We start from the raw sequence: 22,892 nt of genomic DNA, 5'->3' as shown, positions 1-22,892 counted from the left end.
GCCAGCAGCATAAGGTCCTAGCTCAGGTGCCTGCCCACCTCGCTCCTCCCAGCCTAGGAAGGGAGAGGGAAGGAGGCAGGGGCAGAGGGGCTGGAGCTCAGGTTCTCGGTCTATGCCCTCCAGGAGAAGCGCTCTGCACCGCAGAAGGGAGCCTCCCCACACAGCCCCACCGTATGCTGGCTCTGACCTTCAGCTCTCCCAGCCCACGCCCTTGACCTCTGCCCTCCTCTCCACCATTGCTCACCAGTCACAAGGTGCCCCCAGAAGCGTCCATCACCACAAAGACAAACAAACAAAGAGCCTAGGCCGGCTCACGCCTGTAATCCCCACACTTTGGGAGGCCGAGGCGGGCAGATCACTTGAGGTCAGGAGTTCGAGACCAGCCTGGCCATCACGGTGAAACCCCCGTCTCTACTAAAAATGCAAAAATTAGCTGGGCGTGGTGGCGCGTGCCTGTAATCCCAGCTACTTGGAAGGCTGAGGCAGGAGATACGCTTGAACCTGGGAGGCAGAGGTTGCAGTGAGCTGAGCATCACCACACTCCAGCCTGGGCGATAAGAGCAAGACTCCACCTCAAAAAAAAAAATTTATATTAAAAAAAAACACCAAAAAAAAAAACAACTAAATGCCCCTCCAGGGCCTCAGCCTCTCCAGGGAGACAGTTGGAATGTGGGTGAGAAGCTGGCTGGGCCTGTGCCAGTCCCTGCTCCTCAGTTCCTTCCCACCACTGCACTGGTTCTCAAACTGCATTCCCCAGAACCCAGGGGGTTCTGTGTCGCTGAGCCCAGCAGGGGTTCCTGGCCCCTCCCCACACTCCAAGAGCACCCAGCTTCAATCTGCCCTGCACTTCGTGATTGACAAGAGTATTCTGCATCGTCATGATTTTTCTTTCTTTTCCTTCTCTTTTGGAGACAGGATCTCACTCTGTTGCCCAGGCTGGAGTGCAGTGGTGCAACCTCAACTCACTGCAGCCTGGACCTTCCAGGCTCAAGCAATCCGCCCACCTCAGCCCCCTAGTAGTGGAGACTAGAGGTGCACACCACCACACCCAGCTAATTTTTGTATTACTATTATTATTATTATTATTATTGGCAGAGATGGGGTTTTGCCATGTTGCCCAGGCTGGTCTCAAACTCCTGGGCTCAAGGGATCCTCCTGCCTCGGCCTCCCAAAGTGCTGGGATGACAGATGTGAGCCACTGTGCCTGGCATTCATGACTTTTTGAAGATGGGGAAACCACAGCCAGAAAACTTTTCTAAGCCACAGTTAGAAAAAGGCTGAGTGCGTTTATTCCCGCCCCTGGAGCCCATAGGTCGGCAGCCTGAACTCCGCCATGGGCCTGGCCAAACGCAGCGGCAAGCCTGGATCCTGGAGGGGTGGGAGCTCCGTGTGAGGGTCTTCAGAGTGGGGGCTGCGGAATCCCGGGACATCAGAGCAGCTTGCCTCTCACTGAACAGAAAGGGAAACTGAGGCTTAGAGAAGGGGTGCCCTGCTGAGAAGAGCGTAGGTTCCAGATGGGACCGCAGTGTCTCCCTGCCCGGCCAGTTCTTTGCCCAGCACATCCAGCCTGGGAGGCTGTCCTGTCACCAGCACCCACCTTTCCTCCTGGCAGTGAATTTGAGAGCAGGCACCTGCAGCCCAGGGCAGCCTTCTTTTTTTTTTTTTTTTTTTTGAGACGGAGTCTCGCTCTGTCGCCCAGGCTGGAGTACAATGGCGTGATTTCAGCTCACTGCAACCTCCACCCTCTGGGTTCAAGCAATTCCCCTGCCTCCGCCTCCGGCCTCCGGCGTAGCTAGGACTACAGGTGCGCGCCACCACGCCTAGCTTATTTTTTAATTTTATTTTGTATTTTAGTAGAGACGAGGTTTCACCATGTTGGCTAGGATGGTCTTGATCTCCTGACCTCATGATCCCAGGGCGGCTTTCTAGGCCGCGTTTTCCTGGATGTCTGGGATGTCAGGGGTGAGGAACGGAAGGACTCAGGTCTCTCGGGGTCAGAGGCCACGGGCCCCCTCCCTGCGCCACAGTCTTCCTGCTCCCGCCTCCCGCTCCCCGTGATGGGGACTCATTTCCTCGTGAGCCGGCCGTTCTATTTTCAGACAATTGTTGGAAAGCACTTCCTAGTCTCCAGCCAGAAGCTGCTCCCCCACTCAACTCCCCCGGAGCTTCTGCTTGCTGGCGGGGGTCTGCATGTTAGGAGGCTCGCTGCCCGGTGGGTTCTTGAATATCAGCCCCAAAAGGGCTGCTTCAGGCCCGGGCCACAAGGGCACCAGTCTGGCTGGGCACCAGCCCACGAGGGGCCACCTGCGACCTCCTGAGCTGCCAGGGGGTCCTGCTGCAGGGCACCTTCTTGGCAGAATCCAGCGCAAAACCTCCATATAAGATTGTTGTTTAGCAGAGAACAAAACCTCCACTGGTGCGTTGATGGGCTCCGAGCTGCCCCACGGGCATCGACGCCCTCATAACTGCTGACTCACGGCTTTGACACTCGTCACCGCGCTGAGGAGCTTCCAGTGTGCATGAGGCAGTTTCTAAATTTAGTGGGCAGGGTGGTTGGGAGACGGCCAGCCCCCTAGGCACCCTGTGGCCACTTGTCATTCAGAGGAACGCGGAATCTCTCAATCCCTGGCCCTGAGCGCCCACTTCCAGTGACCGTGGCAGCCGCCTGCCCAGCCGTGCGCCCGGGTCCTGGACCAGGGTCAGGGCCGCTTCTCACTGAGGCCCCTCAGCAGCCCAGGAGAGCGGGACGTCTGCCGCACCCATTTTCCAGGTGGGGGAACTGAGGCCCAGAGAGGAAACCTGCCCAACACCGCACAGCCAGTGAGCCGGCCAGCAGAACTCAACACCACATACATCTCCCCGGGCCTTTTGTGCCACATGGCCTGAGGCCCTGGAGGCCAGACCCCATCCTGGGTGTGGGGCAGAGCCGTTCCCCATAGTTCTCTAAATTTCCTCACTTGCAAAATGTAAAAAAAAAAAAAAAAAAAGGTGCCTACAGCGGATACTGTGGGCGTGTGGCTTCCCCGTGCAGGTGGCGCACGGGCCCAGCAGCTGCAGCCCGCGATGGTGAACAGCCGCTGGCTGCCTCTTCTCCACAGAACAGCCTGGGCTGGGGGGCACCACCCTGCCAGTGCCTGATGCATGCTCCCAGGGCAGCCCCCAGCCTCAGGCAGGAGAGAGTTCCTGGTCAGGTGGAGGCTTCAACAGAAGTACCCCTTAGCCTGGCTTCTTCCTGCCCCAGCCCTCCCTCCTCCCCAGTTTCCCTGTAAAGAATGAGGCCAGGCGTGGTGGCTCACGCCTGTAATCTCAGCACTTTGGGAGGCCGAGGCTGGTGAATCACTTGAGGCCAGGAGTTTGAGACCAGCCTGGCCAATATGGTGAAACCCCACCTCTACTAAAATCACAAAAATTAGCCGGGCGTGGTGGTGCGCGCCTGTAGTCCCAGCTACTCGGGAGGTTGAGGTGGGAGAATCGTTTAAACCCAGGAGGCAGAGGTTGCGGTGAGCCGAGATTGCACCACTGCACTCCAGCCTGGGCGACAGGGTGAGACCCTGTCTCAAAAAAACAGAAATGGCACTTGGGCTGGGTGCGGTGGCTCACTCCTGTAATCCCAGCACTTTGGGAGGCCAAGGCAGGTGGATCGCTTAAGCCCAGGAGTTCAAGACCAGCCTGGGCAACATAGTGAGACGTTGACTCTACCAAAAAATACAAAGATTAGCCAGGCATGGTGGTACACGCCTGTAGTTCTAGTGGCTCAGGAGGTGGGGGTGGGAGGATCACGTGAGCCCAGGAGGTCAAGGCTGCAGTGAGCTGTGATCATCCCACTGCACTCCAGCCTGGGCAACAGAGTCAGAGCCTGTCTCTAAATTTAAAAAAAGAGAATCAGGACCGCCATGTCACGGAGACCAAAGGCACAAAGCACTGGTGCTCTGTGTGGCCACAGGACCGGGCACTCCGGGGGGAGCCACTGAGGTCCTCAGAGCGGCGCCTGTTTCAGGGAAGCGCCTGGCGCTGGAGCGAGTGGAGAGGCGTGTGGACGGCGGGGAAGTGGAGTTGTGGAGACAAAGCTTGGGGCTCTGGGACTCAAAGTGGGGAGGCCGGGGGCTTGGACCCGGGAAGGAAACTGAGGCAGAGAGGGGCATGTTTGTGTTATAGGAGACCCTGGAGCTGGCCTGAGGGGCCCTGGGAGGGAGCCCACAAAGAAGGGGCCGTGAGTGCACAATCTGGGGAAGGGGCAATGGAAGCCGGAGGTTTGAGGGGTGGGCCCAGAGGACAGGCGGGCAGACCCAGCAGGGGTGGTTTTCACTGCGGGAGGAGAGAAGTGGGGAGGGCCTGAGATCCGAAGCAGGTCACAGGAGACATGTTGGGGGTATGGGCCTCCCAGAGTCCTTCCCCTTCCTCACGGCTCCCGATTCTCTTTGTTGGTTCACCTCTCTCCTGTGCAGCCTGGGGGTGGAACCGGGACTGGCCCCCGCTCTTTGAAGCCAAAGGGTCTGAGCTCTTCCCCGGTAGACCAGGTACCCTGAGTCACGGCACAGTGGTCAGCGAGGTCCAAGCTCTCCCCAGTAGACCAGCCGTCCTGAGTTTCAATGTGGTGCCCAGCGAGGTCTGAGCTCTCCCCGAGGAAACCAGCCATCCTGAGTCTCAGTGCGGTGGCCAGTGAAGGCTGAGCTCTCACCAGGTTGGCCAGCTGTCCCGAGTCTCAGTGTAGTGGCCAGTGGCCTGACCGGTCCTTGGGATACCTGGAATTCTGGACGTGGGTCTGTCTTTGGGGCTGCACCCTATGGGAGCCCCATACAAGGTTGGGGTTCCAGCCAGGGGGTGGTAGAGAAAGTGGGCGCCCAGGTTCCTAGCAGGGGCTAGCCTGGGGGTGGATGGGGAAGGAAGGCTTCAGGGAGGTTCAGGGAGGAGCCGGGGCTGGGCCCCCAGGATGGGGGTCACTTGAGAAGAGCCGCAGGTTCCCCACAAGGGCCCCTGTGTGTAACGGGAAGGCCAGGCCTGGTCTGCGCTGGGTACGCTTGGTCCAGGAAGGGAGGCTGGAGCCCCCGGTCTAGGCCCAGGCTGCACAGAGAGCGGCAGCTGCTTCCTGGCACGAGGCAGTTAAACCACACGCAGCTGCAGGCTGCCCACCGCACCCGTCTCCCCTCGGGCCCGACCCGGGCCTCTGCTCCCCCTGCCCCCACCCTGCCAGCCGCCCCCAGCCCCTGGTGCTGGTGGGTCTTGGGGGGCCGCAGTGGTGCCCTGGAGCCCAAACCTGCCACACTGATCAGGTCACGAGGTTGGGTCCTGCTAGGACAGGGTCACCTTTGGTACTCACTGCACTCTGGGGTCACAGCAAAGAGGACCCCGGGATGGTGGGAGTCAGAGGCTTGGGCTTGCCTGCCCGACGGCGTCCCTCCAGGCTGAGGCCCAGCTCTCCTAACAGCCTAGGCTTTTAGCACTGGCTTCCTCCCCCCAGAGAATTCACAGTTATCACTTACCTGTCCACGGGCTCTCACTGAACATGGCGAGCCACCCTGGACCCAGCAGGGGACTGGGCAGATCAGGCTCTGCTGGTGGCTCTGTCAGGCAGGAAGGCAGGGAAAAGACCAGCCAGGGGTGGGCGTGCACCTGTGGTCCCAGCTACTTGGGAGGCTGAGGCAGGAGGATCGCTTGAGCCCAGGAATTTGAGGCTGCAGTAAACCATGATCACACCACTGCATTCCAGCTGGGTAACAGAGCAAGACCCCGTTTCTAAAACATTTTTTTAAAAGACATGAAGGAAGGGCCAGGCGCGGTGGCTCATGCCTATAATCCCAGCACTTTGGGAGGTCGAGGTGGGTGGATCACCGGAGGTCAAGAGTTCAAGACCAGCCTGGCCAACATGGCAAAACCCCATCTCTACTAAAAATATAAAAATTAGCTGGATGTGGCTGAACGTGGTGGCTCACGCCTGTAATCCCAGCACTTTGGGAGGCCGAGGCAGGCAGATCACCTGAGGTCAGGGGTTTGAGACCAGCCTGGCCAGCATGGTGAAACCCCATGTCTACTAAAAATACAAAAATTAGCTGGGCATGGTGGCAGGCGCCTGCAATCCCAGCTCCTGATGGGGGCTGAGGCAGAATTGCTTGAACCCAGGAGGTGGAGGTTGCAATGGGCAGAGATCACACCACTGCACTCCAGCCTGGGCGACAGAGCAAGACTCTCAGAAAAAAAAAAAAAAAAGCCAGGCGTGGTGGCAGGTGCCTGTAATCCCAGCTACTTGGGAGGCTGAGGCAGGAGAATCGCTTGAACCCCAGAGGCGGAGGTTGCAGTGGTCTGAGATTGAACCACTGCACTCCAGCCTGGGTGGCAGAGTGAGACTCCGTCTCAAAAAAAAAAAAAAAAAAAAAAGACATGAAGGTGACATCCAGGTGCAGGGGACTGGGGCATCAGTGACTGACCAGAGAAGGAGGCCACTTGAGCAAAGACCAGAATGGGGTGGACAGGGAGTCCCAGGACCAGCTGGGGGGTTTCTGGGCACAGGAAACAGCGCATGGAAAGGCAGGCACCTTCCGGAAACAGTGAGAAGGCTGAGGTGCGGGGTGGGGCGGCATCGGGGGAGGTGAGACGGAGATGTAGACCCTGCAGGACCCGGCAGTCCTCGGCGTGGGGCTGGGACGGGGCGAACAGTGGCCCCATAGCCCACGTCCACCGGAGCCACAGGATGGGAGCTTATTTGCAAACAAGGTCTTTGCAGATATAAACTTATTTTTTTATTTTATTTTTTTTGAGATGGAGTCTTGCTCTGTCGCCTAGGCTGGAGTGCAATGGTGCGATCTTGGCTCGCTGCAGCCTCCATCTCTCAGGTTCAAGTGATTCTCGTGCCTCAGCCTCCGGAGTAGCTGGGACTACAGGCACCTGCCACCACGCCCGGCTATTTTTTTGTATTTTTAGTAGAGATGGGGTTTCACTGTGTTATCCAGGATGGTCTCGATCTCCTGACCTCGTGATCCGCCCGCCTCAGCCTCCCAAAGTGCTGGGATTACAGGTGTGAGCCACTGCGCCCGGCCTTGGATAATTTTTTTCTATTTTTAGTAAAGGCAAGGTTTCGCCATGTTGGCCAGGCTGGTCTCGAACTCCTGACCTCAAGCAATCCGCCCGCCTCAACCTCCCCAAGTGCTGGGATGACAGGCGTGAGCCACCGCACAGGCCTAATGAAGGTAAAGATCTTGAGATGAGATCATCCTTGATCTGGGTGGGCCCTAAATCCCTTAACAGATGTCCTCACGAGGCACAGAGACACAGAGAGAAGACGGCCACATGGAGTCAGAGGCAGAGGCTGGAGGGATGTGGCCACGAGCCGAGGACCCCTGGAGTCCCCAGGAGCTGGTCGAGGTAGGCAGCGTCCTCCCCTAGAGCCCTCCGAGGGAGTCAGCCCTGCCCACACTTTGACTTCAGACTTCTGGGCTCCAGAACTGCAAGAGAGGACATTTCTGTGGCTTTAAGCCACCGAGTCTGTGGTGCTTTGTTAAGAGCTGCTGTGGGAAACAACCACAGGTGTTCATTTTACTGTTCGGGTGATAAGCAGAGTCTTTGGAGAATTCTGAGCAGGGGAGGAACATTTGATTATATCTTTTTGTTTTTTTGTTTTTTTTGAGATGGAATCTCGCTCTGTTGGCCAGACTGGAGTGCAGTGGTACGATCTTGGCTCACTGCCACCTCCACCTCCTGGGTTCAAGTGATTCTCCTGCCTCAGCCTCCCAAGTAGCTGGGACTAAAGGCACCCGCCACCACGCCTGGCTAATTTTTGTATTTTTAGTAGACATGGGGTTTACTATGTTGGCCAAGCTGGTCTCAAACTCCTGATCTCAGGTGATCCGCCTGCCTCAGCCTCCCAAAGTGCTGGGATTAAAAGCCACGGCACCCGGCCTAAAAATTAAATTTCTAATAATTTTTTTTTTTTTGAGACAGAGTCTCACTCTTGTCGCCCAGGCTGGAGGGCAATGGCATGATCTTGGTTCACTGCAACCTCCGCCTCCCACGTTCAAGTGATTCTCCTGCCTCAGCCTCCCAAGTAGCTGGATTACAGGTGTCTGCTACCATGCCCGGCTAATTTTTGTATTTTTGTAGAGACCGGGTTCCACCATGTTGGGCAGGCTGGTCTTGAACTCCTGACCTCAGGTGATCCACCCGCCTCGGCTTCCCAAAGTGCTGGGATTACAGGCGTGAGCCATCGCGCCTGGCCATAAAAAATATTTTCAAAAAGTGAGCAAACAATTTGAACAGACACCAATAATGCAGATACACGGATGACAAAAAAAGATGAGAAAACGCTCATCATTACTCATCAGGGAGACGCCGATGAAGAGCACAGGGCAGACCCTGCACACCCCCCCAGGATGACGGAACGCCTGTGGTCCTGCCCGGGCCATCAGTGGAGAAGCCATCCTTGGAATCTGGAATCCATCTGGCGGGTGCTACTCAGCAGCTGACAGAAGCCACCGATGCCTGCAACGCTGGGGTAAGTCTCAGAATAATGATGCCAGGCCGGGCGCGGTGGCTCACGCCTGTAATCCCAGCACTTTGGGAAGCCGAGGCGGGAGGATCACGAGGTCAGGAGATCAAGACCGTTGTGGCTAACACGGTGAAATCCCGCCTCTACTAAAAATACAAAAAAAAAAAAAAATTAGCCGGGCGTGGTGGCCAGCGCCTGTAGTCCCAGCTACTCGGGAGGCTGAGGCAGGAGAATGGCGTGAACCCAGGAGGCAGAGGTTGCAGTGAACGGAGATCGCGCCACTGCACTCCAGCCTGGGTGACAGAACGAGATTCCATCTCAAAAAAAAAAAAAGAATAATGACGCCGAGCAGCTGGCCAGGGAGCGTGCACTGTGTGCTTTCATTCACACAGACTCCAGAAGAGCAAACAGCGCCTCTCCAGGGACAGAAAGTGGCGCCCTGGCGGCCTGGGGACAAGTCAGGGGTGGTTTGGGAATGTTCGTTACAGGGTTGAAAGGGATGGGGGATGGGGCCACAGGTACGTGTGAATGTCAACACGCATCAGTGTGCACCCTTTACACCCTTTACACACCTGCAGTTTATCAGACGTCAATCATAACTCAAAAAAGCTGTTTTCAAAAAGAGGCGGGGAGAGGGAGGAGGAAGGCAAAGAGGTAGAGGAGGGGGAGGAAGAGGAAGAGGGGAAGGAGACGGAGGAGAAAGAGAAGAGGGAGGAGGAGGTGGTCAAGGTTGACTCCTGAGTTTTTAGAGAACGAGGAAGACGAGGAGCAGGAGGAGAGAGAAGGGGGAAGAGGTGGTCAAGGTTGACAGGAGGAGGAGGAGGAGGAGGAGGAGGAGGGGGAGGAGGGGAGGAGGGGGAGGAGGAGAAGAAGGGGAACGAAGGGGAGGGGGGAGGGGGAGGAGGGGGAGGGGAAGGAGGGGAGGGGGAGGGGGAGGAGGAGAGGAGGGGGGAGGGGGAGGAGGGGGAGAAGAAGGAAGGGGAGGAGGGGGAGGAGGAGGGGGAGGGGGAGGGGGAGGGGGAGGAGGAGGTAGTTGTTCTCAAGGTCGACCCTGAGGTTCTGGCCTGGGCCCGGGTGAGGGCATTTGCCGAAGGCACAGGCCCCGCATGCAGGGGCGGTGATGCTGGTCAGAGGATGAGGAGAGGCAGGTGGCGGGGCAGAGGAAGCTCTGTGCAGGGTGCTCCCATTCAGGTGACAGGAGGAGGAAGCATTACCCCATCGGATCTCCCCTCCCCTTAGAGAGTTACCCTGAGGGACAGATTGAGAAACTGTAGAGGGATGAAGCCGCACAGCCCCCGCCTGGCGTCCGGCAGGGATCCGCGCCTGACCGGCCTCTCCTCCCATGGGCACCACGGACGTCTCCTTCCGGACTCGCTGCCCACACAGCGCAGGGTGCAGGGCCCTGGAGCCCTTGGGGTCCTGCGGGGACCCAGCTGGTGCCCACAGGAGTGGAAAGAGACCGTGGCGGGTCACACAGCAGTTCTCAGGCTGCAGCCTGGGGCCATGAGCCTCACTGAGGCCACAGTCAAATGGCCACACCCAACTTCAGGGGCACAGGGAGACCAGCTCTGCCTTGCGGTCCCTGGATGAGGAGATGGGACACACCGGGCAGGCGGTGCTCAGGACTCCCTCGGTGGCGGGGCAGCGTTCGAGTCAGTGCCCTGCTGGGAACAGATCTCCAAGATGTGGTTAAGTGGCAAAAGCCAGGTGCAGAAAAGAGGAGCCGTGCGCTACCTGCAGGGTGACAAGGCAGAGGGAGGCACACGGGTGGCTGCCTGAACGCACACGGAAAAGCCGGGAACACAGGCACAAATCAGAACACAGGCTGACTCCAGGGGAGGGGACCAGCTGCTCAGGGGTCAGGGGAGACCTTCGACCCTTTGACTGGATGATTCCCCCACCTTTTATTTTTATTTTTTTTTAGACAGGGTCTCGCTCTGTCGGCCGGCTGCAGCGTAGTGGCACCATCATAGCTTACTGCAGCCTTGACCTCCCAAGCTGAAGAGATCCTCCTACCTCAGCCTCCTCAGTAGCTGGGACCGTAGGCATGCACCACCATGCCTGGCTAATTTATTCTTGATTTTTGTTTGTAGAGATAGGGTCTCACTATGTTGCCCAGGCTGGTCTCAGACTCCCACTTTGGCCTCCCAAAGGGCTGGGATTAGAGGTTCATGCCACCATGCCCAGCTAATTTTTATTTTTTTGTAGAGATGGGGGTCTTGCTATGTTGCTCAGGCTGGTCTCGAACTCAACCGATCCTCCTGCCTTGGTCTCCCAAAGTGCTGAGATTACAGGCATGAGCATCACACCTGGCAACTGTATGATCTTTTGTGTCTTTTGAGTTTTGTTCCCATCAGTGTTTCCATTAAAAAAAAAAAAAAAAAGGCGTGGGGGCGGGGCGGGCGCAGTAATTCCAGCACTTTGGGAGGCCAAGGCGGGCGGACCACCTGAGGTCAGGAGTTCGAGACCAGCCTGGCCAACATGGTGAAACCCCGTCTCTACTAAAAACACAAAAAAATTAGCCAGACATGGTGGCGGGCGCCTGTAATCCCAGCTACTCGGGAGACTGAGGCAGGAGAATCGCTTGAACCTGGGAGGTGGAGGTTGCAATAAGCCGAGGTCGCGCCACTGCATTCCAGCCTGGGCGACAGAGCGAGACTCCGTGCCAAAAAAAAAAAGAAAAAAGAAAAGGGTGAACTTTGTGGAACACGAGTTCTATCTCAATAAAGCTATTATTATTATTATTATTATTATTTGAGACAGGGTCTCTCCCCGGGAGCCCCCCGGGCTGCGCCCCCTCGCCAGTGCCTGCGCCCCGGCCGCCCCCGCTCTCCGGGACGTGCAGAACCTGCCACTTGACTCATCCGCGGATCCCTGACGCCACTCCTCCCCGCCGTGCGTCCTGGAGTGCGTCCCTTCGCAACGCCAGCACCACCTGTGAATGGAGAGGCCAGCGCCTGCCCCGCGCCGCCGACCCACCTGGACCGGACCACATGCGCGCGGCGCCGGCCAGCCCGCCTCCCGCCGCCATGGGGCGCTGCAGGCATCAGGCCGGCGCCGCGGGCCTCTCGCGCCTCCTTCTGGGCCCGCTTCCCGCCGCACTGTTTTCCTTCCGGTTGTTCCGGAAGTCGGGTCCTCGAGGGCGGTGAGATCGGTTTCCGATTCCGGGGTGGCCGGGTGGCGGCGGCGGCGCTCCGGTCGCGATGGGCCAGAGGTAAGTGAGCCGCGGCCTGGGCGCTTCCTCATTGCCGGGCGAGCGCCTGGTTCTCCCGGCTACCGCTCCCGGCCTCTGGGCCGTCCCTTCTGGTTCTGCCGCCTCCAGCCCGGCGTCCGCGTCGCCTGCTGCCGCCCGACTGAGCCGCTCCCGGGCGGCTGGGAGGCGGGGTCCCTGCAGCTCCTGCAGCATCGCCCCGCCGGGCGGGCGCGGGACCACTGTCCCCGGGTCCCAGGCCCAAGCCCCGTGCGGCAAGGGAGCGAATGAGCGAGCGAACGAGCGAATGAGTGAAGGAATGACCGCACGCTGGCTCCTCCGCAGGTGACGCCGCAGCCGCCGGGAGCCGCGAGGGACGGGGCAGGATGAACCGGGCCAAGCCCACCACGGTGCGCCGGCCCAGCGCCGCGGCCAAACCCTCAGGTGCGTCTCCCTCCTCGCTCTGCAGCCCGGGGGTCTTTGGGGGTCTTTGGGGGTCTTTGGGGATCTCAGCTGCCGCGGATCCTGCGTTGGGCTTGGTTGTTCCGCAGCCGCGGCTGTTTCCAGGAATTCGGTCTGGAAACACTGCTCTCGGTCCTCAGCGGCTCTGAGAGTCCCTGGGAGGCTTGGGACAGTGGCGACTTCCTTCGGGACCCCGGTGATCTCGTTTCAGGCTGAGCTGCAAGGCGGCCGACAGTAGCGGAAGGTCTCCCCAGCCAGGAGGCGGGAGGCAGCACAGTGTAGCGTAGCACGGGGTCTGCGGCTGAACTGTCGGCTCAGATCCTCCGGACTTTGCCACTCGCCTGCTGTGTGACGCTGGGCACGTCGCTTAACCTCTCTGTGTCCCTTTCTCTCTTGTAAAGTTAGAGTAATAGCACCTATTGCGGAAACTCGGGGCGGGGGTTACTAAGCACACTAATTTGGATAGACCAGAGATGGCCTGGTTTGTGGTTAGCGCTACGTGACTGTCCACCATCACCTGTGCGTATCCTGCTGGTCCCAGCTCTGCTGTAGGCTGCTGAGTGAGCTCTGGCTTCTTCCTTGCCTCCTCTGACCCTTGTTTAATCCCCTCTGACATAACAGGAGGTTAGAGTCAGTCTTTTTCCATCTTGGGTGTTGCAAATGTGCCCGGTTTTCTCTCTCCTTTCTCTGCAGGGCACCCTCCCCCAGGAGACTTCATTGCTCTGGGCTCAAAGGGTCAGGCCAATGAATCGAAAACGGCGTCCACCCTGCTGAAGCCAGCCCCTTCCGGCCTGCCTTCTGAGCGCAAGCGGGATGCGGCGGCCGCGTTGTCCAGTGCCTCGGCCCTCACCGGTCTCACCAAACGCCCCAAACTCTCCTCCACACCCCCTCTGAGTGCCCTGGGGCGCCTGGCTGAGGCTGCAGTGGCAGAAAAACGAGCCATTTCTCCGTCGATTAAAGAGCCATCTGTGGTGCCAATTGAAGGTAATGAGTCTGTGGACATCCCCCGAGAACACCCCTCAGCTCATGCCGTCCATCAGGTGTTCAGGGAAGGCCCCCTCCAGGCCTAGTGCTGCCCGTATGGCCGAGGTCCTTTGGGAGAGCGGATGTTTGTGGCTTGTTCTTGGAAGTGCTTCTCACGTAGATGCCCTTATCCCGTGTGTGCATCTGCGTCCTGCACTGCCAGTGGCTGCCCTTTGAGAACCGGGTCACTCCCTTATTGAGTTGTTTGTCTCATGTGTCTGTTGGACGCCCCCTTTGTGACGGGCACTGTCTGAGCCCTGGGGGTAAACCGGGCGTGACGACACCCCAGGTGTCTGTTCTCAAGGTTGCCCATCCTGGTGCGTTCCTCTCTCAACCTGAGCGGAGGCGATGTGTACTTGGTTCCTCCTTCCCTCCTGGTTACCAACAGAGAAGAGTTGATCCCCTCCCTGTTTTCAGTTGAAAAGCAGCAGAACAGTAAGGACATCAACGGGGGAATGTAAGCTTCACCACTGTCCCGTTCTCGCAGAAATGCCTTTAACTGTGTGCCTAGAATCGCCCCTGCCCCTCTGCGCCATTTTCCCAACGACCATTTCTCAAGGCTCCGTGACTCCCTGGGAGTCGCTCTGGCAGCTATCGCACCAGCCCCAGCAAGCCTCATGGTCTGCAGTGTTTTGTTTCTGTGGGAGCATCTCTTTTGGGTAATTTCTTTGTAGGAGTCAAAAAGAACAAGTGTCCTGATGACTTTGGTAGTGAGGTGTCTGTTCAAGCCGCGCCACCTCTGGTTACTGAGTTTTGTGCCAGACAGGACCCAGGGGACTTGTGGGCTGTGGCCTTGCCCTCAGGGAGGGACCAGGCTGCTGCAGTGCAAGCCTGTGAGTGAGTCCCCGACGGCCCTGGAAGGGAGGAGGCCTGGCAGGGAGTTGCAGTATGGGCTTGGGCCTGGAAGCACAGGCGATGAAACCGGGGCAGGCAGGAAAGGGAGATGCCAAGCAGAGAATGGACTGTGCCCAGGGAATGGAGGCCTGGCCTGGCCTGGGCAGCACACGCTCATGAGAGCTGAGGCTGGGCGCTGTGGGCAGTGTTTGTGCTGGACTCAGTTGGCATCAGGGAGCCCTGGGGGCAAACGGCCCAGGATGGCACAGCTGGGGGACTGCTTTAGGAGGTCGAGCCTCAGACCTCCCATGAGGCGTGTCCCTGGGCAGCTGGTGCCGGTGGGGATTGAAGACAGAGACCACAGGCCTCATCCTGGCCCGGGCTCTCGGCCGCCGGCGGCTCGGTGCTTTATTTATCTTTAGCACTACCTCCTGTAGAAAGGAGGTTTTGAAGATGAGAGGAGACGTGGTTATGAAAAGCGTATTCTGAGTGGTAGATCACTTTATAGTATTATTCTCAGCAAAACAGAGAGATGGCTGCATCCAGCCATTTGTGGTAAATGTCCCAGGCTGTCCCTCCATGCTGGCAGCCCACTTGTCCCCCAGCTTGTCTCGGCATCAGGAAATTTATTCCAAGTCTCTGTCCCGGGCGCAGTTAAGGTAGATCACAATGCCTCTGTCCACATGTGTGTGGATATGTATTTACTTATTATTTATTATTTATTTATTTATTTATTTTTTTTTGAGACAGAGTCTCGCTGTGTTCCCCAGGCTGGAATGCAGTGGCACGATCTCGGCTCACTTCAGCCTCCGCCTCCCGGGTTCACATGATTCTCCTGCCTTAGCCTCCCAAGCAGCTGGGATTACAGGCATGCACCACCACGCCTGGCTAATTTGTGTATTTCTAGTAGAGACAGGGTTTCACTGTATTGGCCAGGCTGGTCTCGATTTCCTGACCTCAGGTGATCCACCTGCCTCAGCCTCCCAAAGTGGTGGGATTACAGGTGCTAGCCACTGCACCTGGCCGTTTGTGGATATTTAAAAACACAGTCCTAAAAAACTGTTGGGACAGAGAAGAATCAGAATGAAAATGAGAAAACCTCCGATCCAACAGTGGCAAACACGACGATAGGAAAGGTGTGTGCTGGCCCTGGTGCTCCTCAGAGGATGTGGGAGGGTCAGGCACTCGTCTGGAGGAAGGTTGTGAGCCGAGCACCCATGGAAAGAGGGAGGAAAAGTGGGAAGAAGGGCATGCTGGAGACTGGAGCTGGGGTGGGTGCGGAGAGAGGGCCACTGTGCTGCGGTCCACAGTGAGAAAGAAGCCGCCAGACGGAGCCACGATTCAGTGGAAAGTAAAGCTGCAGGTGGCCTGGCTTGCTGGGAAATGTCTGTAGCCTTTGGGGTAGTCGTGTGGGACACAGCGGAGCCAGGACTGGAGTGGCTGGTGGGCTAGTGCTGAGGCCTGTGGGGCAGCCTGTTGTATTAAGGGGACCATCTGGTGGGGTGCTTGTCCGCTGTGGGAACTTTGCTGAGGGTGGATCGCTGGTCCCTGGCAGGGCCGACCCTGAGAGCTCTGGGTTCCTCGTGGTCTTCCCGGTGTCCCGAGGCTTTGGGGTGACCCTGCCCTGGCCCCGTTCTGACCGTACCGCCTGCCCCGGCCAGTGCTGCCCACGGTGCTGCTGGATGAGATCGAGGCGGCCGAGCTGGAGGGCAACGATGACAGGATCGAGGGCGTGCTGTGCGGGGCCGTGAAGCAGCTGAAGGTCACCCGCGCCAAGCCTGACAGCACCCTCTACCTGAGCCTCATGTACCTGGCCAAGATCAAGCCCAACATCTTCGCCACTGAGGGCGTCATTGAGGTTTGAGCCGGGCCCCTGGCAGGAGGCGAGCAGCGCTGGGGCCCTTGGCTCCCCTCCTCACCTCCCCCTTAAGTGTCCCTCCCGGCCCACCCCAGCTTTGCCTCTGGGGCCAGCGAAGCTCCCACGTGACATGCGCCCTCCCTGGCAGGCTCTGTGTAGCCTCCTGCGGCGGGACGCCTCCATCAACTTCAAGGCCAAGGGGAACAGCCTGGTGTCTGTGCTGGCCTGTAACCTCCTCATGGCCGCCTACGAGGAGGACGAGAACTGGCCCGAGATCTTTGTCAAGGTGAGCGTCCTCTCCCGGGACGGTGAAGATGGCAGAGCGCCACGGGGTGGGGCAGGGGCGAGAGAAAAGCAGAAGTGTGTTCTCTCCAGAGGGCTGTGTCTGACAGCCCTGGTGGTGATGGCACGGTCCCTGCTGCACCCAGAAGCTGGAGAGGGCCGCCTGGGCACCCAGTCCCCGGGCAGCAGGCGGGTGTTCCCCAACCTGGCTGCTGCCCGGCTGGGCTCGGGGCTGAGGGTGTGGCTGCCACACAGGTGTACATCGAGGACTCCCTGGGGGAGCGGATCTGGGTGGACAGCCCTCACTGTAAGACGTTTGTGGACAACATCCAGACGGCCTTCAACACCAGAATGCCCCCCAGGAGCGTGCTGCTGCAGGGGGAGGCGGGCCGCGTTGCGGGCGACCTGGGTGCAGGTGAGACACACGGCCAGCCAGAGAGGGCGGGTGTCCAAGCCCCAGGGCAGGGGAGGGGTGGGAGGATGGGCGGGTGGGAGGCGCTGCATGGAGCCCTCTCCTTGGTTTGCAGGGAGCAGCCCACACCCCTCCCTCACGGAGGAGGAGGACAGCCAGACGGAGTTGCTGATCGCGGAGGAGAAGCTGAGCCCCGAGCAGGAGGGCCAGCTCATGCCCAGGTAGCTGCGTGCCTGCCCGGTCCCAGTTGGGGGCGGCGGGGGCGGGCGCCTCGGGGCCACCTTCCTCCCTCCTCGCTCCCTCCTCTGGCCTAGGTACGAAGAGCTCGCGGAGAGCGTGGAGGAGTATGTCCTGGACATGCTGCGGGACCAGCTGAACCGGCGCCAGCCCATCGACAACGTCTCCAGGAACCTCCTGCGGCTCCTCACCTCCACCTGCGGCTATAAGGAGGTGCGGCTGCTGGCGGTGCAGAAGCTGGAGATGTGGCTGCAGAACCCCAAGGTGCGGGGGCGCCCCGGGGGGGTGGGCGGGGCAGGGGGTGGGGGCAGGCTCTGTGTGGCCCCACAGCGTGGTCTTCCTGCCGGGGTGGCCGTGAGCCCACTGCTCCCTCCTCGGCCCCGCAGCTGACCCGGCCGGCCCAGGACCTGCTGATGTCCGTCTGCATGAACTGCAACACGCACGGTTCCGAAGACATGGACGTCATCTCACACCTGATCAAGATCCGCCTCAAGCCCAAGGTCCTCCTCAACCACTTCATGCTGTGCATCAGGTGCGTGGCGAGCCGGGGCAGAGCGGGGGTGCGGGTGGAGTGGGGGTGTGGGTGGGGGTGTGGGCGGAGCGGGGGTGCGGGCGGAGTGGGGGCACAGGCGGAGTGGGGGCACAGGCGTAGCGGGGACAGGGTCTGTACCCTCACCTCACCCAGGGAGCTGCTGAGCGCGCACAAGGACAACCTGGGCACCACCATCAAGTTGGTGATCTTCAATGAGCTCTCCAGCGCCCGGAACCCGAACAACATGCAGGTCCTCTATACCGCACTGCAGCACAGCTCAGAGCTGGCGCCCAAGGTAGGCCCAGGGTCCCTGGCCTTGCCCTCCACGCCGGAATATGGGGCTCTGGGCTGGAGGGGCACGTGGCGTCTGGGGAGGCCGGTGGATTGGCAGTGCTTCGTGGGAGAATGCTCCTCGGTCTCGGGAAGGAGCTTTTGAAACTCACGTGGGCATGAGGTTGAGCCGTTTCTAGAGTGGGTGCAGCCACAGCGCCCAGCGTCTTTCTCAGAAACTGACACTCTGTCCATTTAGGAGGGAGCCACATTGAGTCTTAAAAGCCACCCAGGTTTCTGAGCTAAGACCCAGACCTGTTGCCTTCTGTTTTTATTTTTCAAGCTCATTCCTGCCTTTGGATAGTAAGGTAGTTTTTAAAAATTTTGTGGAGACCGGGTCTTATTATGTGGCCCAGGCTGGTCTCAAACTCCTGGGCTCAAGCGATCCTCCTGCCTCAACCTCCCAAAGTGCTGGGATGACAGGCATGAGCCCCTGTGCCTGGCCCAGACCCGCCTCCTGTGCATTGGGTCCCTCGGTTAAGCAGGGGTCCCTGTAGCCCTGGCTGTAGGACCCTTGGATTTCCGTGTCTCCTTTGAAGCGGGCTCGGGAGATGCTCCCATCGCCACCAGCGCATTAGGCCTCCCGGTGGGCTCTATGGAGTGTGAAACACGAGGGAGGCACAGCCGCTCTCAGCTCCGCGTTCAGTCTTCGCGGCCTGGCATTTTGAGACAGGAGTGCGTCCTTTCAGATCCTTTCAGATCTTGGGTGGTGGCCTTTGGTTTCCGTTCAGCCCGTGGCGCACGGGTGGGCTGAGATGGCACACGCGCTTCTATGGCTTTGCCGCCTGGTGTCCCGCACCCCCAGCTTCCGTTAATTAATCCTCCTCATTTCACGAGGACCGACTCCCCACCTGCCGGTTCTCAGAGAGGGGAATCAGATGTGATCCCTGCTCGCCAAGGGCTGGCAGCCAGTAGAGCAAGGAGCCCGCCACCCCGCACCCCACACTGTCTGAGACCCACTGCAGCGCCCTCGGGCGCCATACCTGTTGGTGCTGCGGGAAGGGGCCTGTGACAGGGACAGCACTGTCGGGCAGCCTCCCACGCGGCCTCTCTCTGCCCCAGTTCCTGGCCATGGTGTTCCAGGACCTGCTGACCAACAAGGACGACTACCTGCGGGCCTCGCGGGCCCTGCTGCGGGAGATCATCAAGCAGACCAAGCACGAGATCAACTTCCAGGCCTTCTGCCTGGGGCTCATGCAGGAGCGCAAGGAGCCGCAGTACCTGGAGATGGAGTTCAAGGTGCCAGCCCTCGCCGCTGGGGCGCCTTTCCCTCACTGCGGGTTCCACGCGCCGCCATCCCCCTCGTCCTGGGTCCCATGCACACTCCACCCCTTCGGATGCTCTGGCTGAGCGTGGGTACGGGGATGAGTGAGGCTGTTTGCGGTGACGCGTCCCAGAGGGTAGCATAGGCTCTGTCCTGTGTGAGGACCTATGAGGGGCTGACCAAGCACAGGGGAACTGGCAACCCCTAGGCTGGATGGGATGAATTGCTGCCGGCAGCAAGGGGAGCACGGGAGCAGGGAGGCAGGGTGGGGCTGCGGGCTGCCTGGCTGGGTTGGAGACTTTTCGAGGGCTGTGGAGGGAGCTGGCGCTGGAAGGCACAGTGAGGGTGGATCACAGAGATGCCAGGTCCCTGCAGCCAACTCGCAGCCAGCCTGCCGGGGTGGCCTGTTTTGCGGACGGGGCTTTGTGGATCTCTGTTGACTGAACCTCCCTCCTGTGGCCAGACTAGGACCTTGTGGGCCACCGGCCCTGGTGCCCCTCCTGTCAGGCCCCTCTCCCAACTGGTCCTGGGCTCTCTCTCTGGATCCCTGCTTGTGTGTGTGTATGTGTGCGCATGTGCAAGTGTGTGCGTGCTGCACCCACGTGTTTGTGGAGTGGGGCTCCCGGGTGTCCCTTCTGGATACAGACCCCGTGCCGCGCCCACGTGGGTGTGGAGTGGGGCTCCCGGGTGTCCCTTCTGGATACAGACCCCGTGCCGCGCCCACGTGGGTGTGGAGTGGGGCTCCCGGGTGTCCCTTCTGGATACAGACCCCGTGCCGCGCCCACGTGGGTGTGGAGTGGGGCTCCCGGGTGTCCCTTCTGGATACAGACCCCGTGCTGCACCTGCAGGAGCGCTTCGTGGTGCACATCACCGACGTCCTGGCCGTGTCCATGATGCTGGGCATCACAGCGCAGGTGAAGGAGGCCGGCATCGCCTGGGACAAAGGAGAAAAGAGGAGTAAGGATGTGGGGGTGGCCTGGCCCTGCTTGGTGGGGGTCTCGGGTCCAGGCTGGTGGCTGGCGGCTCTCCGAGGCTGCACTGTCCCCTGAGCGCCCGGCAGGAGCGGTCCCGCAGCACGGCTACTCGGGGACACGGAGCCTGGAAGCTGCCGTCCCCGTTCCTGTCCATCCGGGCCTCACCCCAGCTGCAGGCTCAGACCCTGTTCCCATGAGCGTCCTTTGTGTGCTCCAGTTCTGGCCCAGCATGGGGGCATTGCAGGCGTGGTGGCCCCAGCCACGGGCGGGAGTGGGGAGGGGAGGTGGTGTTTGGGGCAGTCCGGGTGTTTGATTATGGGTTCACAGGAAGGCTGGGCCGCAGAAGCCCTCTAAGCCATTGACCGGAGCGAGTCACTCGGAACAGGAGGATTCCAGTCACCCACGCACGCGTCAGGGTCACTCCATGCCTCCCAGGGTGTTATTCCAGCTGGGAATCGTCCAGAAGCTGGGGGTGCCCTGAGTTACCCCCTCCCAAGTGCCAGCATTGAGTTGGACCCCCAGGGGTGCCTTAGCCCCTCATGGCCCATGGCTCGGATGGGCCACTAAGCTGCGTGTCTGTTTCAGACCTGGAAGTGCTCCGCTCATTCCAGAACCAGATTGCCGCCATCCAGCGGGATGCCGTCTGGTGGCTCCACACTGTGGTCCCCTCCATCAGCAAGCTCGCCCCTAAGGACTACGTGCACTGGTGCGGCTGGGGCCCTGTACAGCCCCTGTCCCACACCCCACTGAGCCGGGACAAGCCGGGGCCCCGCACAACCCCTGCCCCAAACCCCACTGAGCCAGGACAAGCCAGGCCCCGCACAGCCCCTGCCCCACACCCCACTAAGCCGGGACAAGCCAGGCCCCCACACGGGAGTCTGTCCCCTCTCTGCGGACAGCAGCAGCCGTTAGGCTCCAGGCAGGTCACCCTGTGCATTGGAGCCTCCCGTGGAGCCTCTGCCTTGGTTGGGGTGGGGCTGCCAGGCTGGGGCTGCATTTCTCTGCAGCGATTTTGTAAAGGGCTGTCCAGCCCGGCAGCCCCGTTCGGCCGCTGTGCAGCCTGGCAGCCCCGTGAGTGGTCCCTGGGTTCTTTGGTGGTGCTGTGAGGAGGTGCTGAGCTTGGGCACCAGGCAGCCCGGCCTCTGAGCGCTGGGGCCCGTGGGAGCGGGGTCCCTTCCCTGGAACTAACGGGGCTGGTCCCTGAGCACCCACATCATGACTGAGGGCTCTTCTCTGCCTGCCCAGCCTGCACAAGGTGCTGTTCACAGAGCAGCCGGAGACCTACTACAAGTGGGACAACTGGCCACCCGAGAGTGACCGCAAGTGAGTGCGCTGCCGCCTGGGGCTCCTGTGTGCCGGGCTGGGCGGGGCTGCGGGGTGCCGGGCCGGCTGCGGCAGGAAGGGCCAGTGGGAGTTGGGCGGCTGTTCCCATGGTCACAGCACCATCCTGCTCCTCCTCCACAATCCTGGGTGCCACCCTTCTCCCACTCCCATGCTGGCGTCCCAGCGCCACTGTAGGGATTCAGCTGCCGTCTGCGTCCACGTGACTCCAAGCCCCAGCCGCAGCCTCCCCCGGACCCCCGCCTTCCAGTTGCTTCCAGGGCGTCCACGGGCACGCCACCCTTCACGCAGTCTCAGATGCACCGTCTGCCCCTGCTTCTGTCCAGACAGCCGCACACTGTCCTTCCCCAGCCGGCTGGCCTCACAGCTCTGTCCCCCTTCAAGCCCCATGGGTGACCCCGTGGGTTCTTGGTCTACACTCCCCTCCAGCCCCGCCTGGGGCTCCTGCCAGTTCACCCTGCCCCCACCTCGTGCCCTGGGCGCTCTGTTCACCTTCACTGCGGCCTTCCGGTCAGGCTTTGGAGGTGTAGGGGTTATCTCTGTCTCCTGGCCCCCAGCTCCTTGAGGGCAAGAACCATCTAGAGGCCTCTGTGGGGTGGCAGAGTCTCCGTGTGGTGGTTGTAGGAACCAGTGACTGTGTGTGTATCCCCAAAGGCCTTGGGGTGGGGGTAGCCTCCCCTTCTCCCCTTGTCCAGGCGAGACTTAGAGCCAGGGCTCCTGTCCTGCAAAGGGAGGCTCAGGTTGGAGGGGATAGGCTCGTGGGAGGCAGCAGCAGCCCTCTGCCACCAGCCCGTGGGCTCTGAGGGAGAAGCTGGCCTGTCCTCGGCCCCTCAGGTCTGGCAGGTGTGGGCAGCCCACACCGAGTCATGCCTCCCCCACCCCGCAGCTTCTTCCTGCGTCTGTGCTCCGAGGTGCCCATTTTGGAGGACACGCTGATGCGCATCCTGGTCATCGGGCTGTCCCGGGAGCTCCCGCTCGGGCCTGCGGACGCCATGGAGCTTGCTGACCACCTGGTGAAGCGGGCGGCTGCCGTGCAGGCGGATGGTATGGCTTCTGCAGGGGATGGCGCCTGTGCTGGGTCTGCTCCCCTCGTCCCTGCAGAAACCCCGGCTCTGGCACGCACCTCTGGGGCGCTCCACAAAGCTGCGCTTCAGCTGGGTCCTGGGTCCCCGGGAGGCTCGGGGACCTGCCTTCTCCACATCTGCCGTTGGGAATTCAGAAGCGTGCGTGTATTTGGCAATGGTGCAGTCACTGCCCCGTTCTTTGGAATTTGCACATTTTTTGGAATTGGCATTCTCGGTGTGATTTGGCCACGGCCAGATTTCCTGTCTGTCACCTCCTTTAGGCGACAGGTAGAATGATTGTAAATCCAGCTCGCGCCTCGTCCGTGGCTCTGCCCCGAGGGCTTGCGGGTCCCCACCCTGCCGGCCACACCCCCGTCCTCACCTCCCTACCCTCTCTTGGCAGCCCTGCCTGCTCTCTAGACCCAGCCCAGGTGTCCCCGAGAGCAAAGTGCCCTGTTTCCCAGTGAGAAGCCAAGCTTCCCCCAGCTCTCCTGCTCAGGCCTGCGCCCCACCCTGCGGCATCCCCCACCCCACCCCGACGCGGCCCGAGCAGGGCCGGTTCCCTCGCTGCCTGTGCCTGATGGTCTGTGAGCAGCCCCAGAACCCATGTGTG

At 60.3% G+C, this 22,892-nt stretch overlaps 1 protein-coding gene across 3 annotated transcripts in view, besides 8 other annotated features; it reads left to right on the top strand.

Annotated features, from left to right (window-relative positions):
• Positions 2,215 to 2,304: an enhancer, noted in NCBI's record as "active region_25492". NCBI's record gives its function as "activates an Ori minimal core promoter by ATAC-STARR-seq in GM12878 lymphoblastoid cells {active_cell/tissue: GM12878}" and the evidence as "EXISTENCE:reporter gene assay evidence [ECO:0000049][PMID:35858748]".
• Positions 2,345 to 2,414: an enhancer, noted in NCBI's record as "active region_25491". NCBI's record gives its function as "activates an Ori minimal core promoter by ATAC-STARR-seq in GM12878 lymphoblastoid cells {active_cell/tissue: GM12878}" and the evidence as "EXISTENCE:reporter gene assay evidence [ECO:0000049][PMID:35858748]".
• Positions 5,130 to 5,179: a silencer, noted in NCBI's record as "silent region_17855". NCBI's record gives its function as "represses an Ori minimal core promoter by ATAC-STARR-seq in GM12878 lymphoblastoid cells {active_cell/tissue: GM12878}" and the evidence as "EXISTENCE:reporter gene assay evidence [ECO:0000049][PMID:35858748]".
• Positions 9,340 to 9,935: an enhancer, noted in NCBI's record as "H3K27ac-H3K4me1 hESC enhancer chr7:1545714-1546309 (GRCh37/hg19 assembly coordinates)". NCBI's record gives its function as "activates a minimal SCP1, AML or CMV promoter by ChIP-STARR-seq in primed H9 embryonic stem cells {active_cell/tissue: H9 hESC(primed)}" and the evidence as "EXISTENCE:reporter gene assay evidence [ECO:0000049][PMID:30033119]".
• Positions 9,936 to 10,532: an enhancer, noted in NCBI's record as "H3K27ac-H3K4me1 hESC enhancer chr7:1545117-1545713 (GRCh37/hg19 assembly coordinates)". NCBI's record gives its function as "activates a minimal SCP1, AML or CMV promoter by ChIP-STARR-seq in naive H9 embryonic stem cells {active_cell/tissue: H9 hESC(naive)}" and the evidence as "EXISTENCE:reporter gene assay evidence [ECO:0000049][PMID:30033119]".
• Positions 10,121 to 10,310: an enhancer, noted in NCBI's record as "active region_25490". NCBI's record gives its function as "activates an Ori minimal core promoter by ATAC-STARR-seq in GM12878 lymphoblastoid cells {active_cell/tissue: GM12878}" and the evidence as "EXISTENCE:reporter gene assay evidence [ECO:0000049][PMID:35858748]".
• Positions 11,419 to 11,978: a silencer, noted in NCBI's record as "silent region_17854". NCBI's record gives its function as "represses an Ori minimal core promoter by ATAC-STARR-seq in GM12878 lymphoblastoid cells {active_cell/tissue: GM12878}" and the evidence as "EXISTENCE:reporter gene assay evidence [ECO:0000049][PMID:35858748]".
• INTS1 (integrator complex subunit 1) overlaps positions 11,624 to 22,892 on the top strand; it is a 34,113-nt gene continuing 22,844 nt past the window's right edge. For all 3 annotated transcript variants that reach the window (NM_001080453.3, XM_011515260.2, XM_011515262.3), the window contains exons 1-15: positions 11,624 to 11,690; positions 12,012 to 12,110; positions 12,822 to 13,112; positions 15,647 to 15,843; positions 15,992 to 16,129; positions 16,381 to 16,540; positions 16,653 to 16,758; positions 16,852 to 17,038; positions 17,161 to 17,306; positions 17,460 to 17,601; positions 18,699 to 18,875; positions 19,749 to 19,857; positions 20,460 to 20,580; positions 21,120 to 21,197; positions 22,102 to 22,259. In NM_001080453.3, the coding sequence (NP_001073922.2) occupies positions 12,053 to 12,110; positions 12,822 to 13,112; positions 15,647 to 15,843; positions 15,992 to 16,129; positions 16,381 to 16,540; positions 16,653 to 16,758; positions 16,852 to 17,038; positions 17,161 to 17,306; positions 17,460 to 17,601; positions 18,699 to 18,875; positions 19,749 to 19,857; positions 20,460 to 20,580; positions 21,120 to 21,197; positions 22,102 to 22,259 (2,068 nt within the window). In that variant the 5' untranslated portion in view covers positions 11,624 to 11,690; positions 12,012 to 12,052. The remainder of the gene's footprint in view (positions 11,691 to 12,011; positions 12,111 to 12,821; positions 13,113 to 15,646; positions 15,844 to 15,991; positions 16,130 to 16,380; positions 16,541 to 16,652; positions 16,759 to 16,851; positions 17,039 to 17,160; positions 17,307 to 17,459; positions 17,602 to 18,698; positions 18,876 to 19,748; positions 19,858 to 20,459; positions 20,581 to 21,119; positions 21,198 to 22,101; positions 22,260 to 22,892) is intronic.
• Positions 21,746 to 22,246: an enhancer, noted in NCBI's record as "H3K4me1 hESC enhancer chr7:1533403-1533903 (GRCh37/hg19 assembly coordinates)". NCBI's record gives its function as "activates a minimal SCP1, AML or CMV promoter by ChIP-STARR-seq in naive H9 embryonic stem cells {active_cell/tissue: H9 hESC(naive)}" and the evidence as "EXISTENCE:reporter gene assay evidence [ECO:0000049][PMID:30033119]".

Source organism: Homo sapiens, chromosome 7 (assembly GCF_000001405.40).
Source record: "Homo sapiens chromosome 7, GRCh38.p14 Primary Assembly".
NCBI lineage: Eukaryota > Metazoa > Chordata > Mammalia > Primates > Hominidae > Homo > Homo sapiens.
The sequence above is the reverse complement of the archived record's forward strand: the minus strand, read 5'-3'. Positions and strand labels throughout refer to the sequence as shown.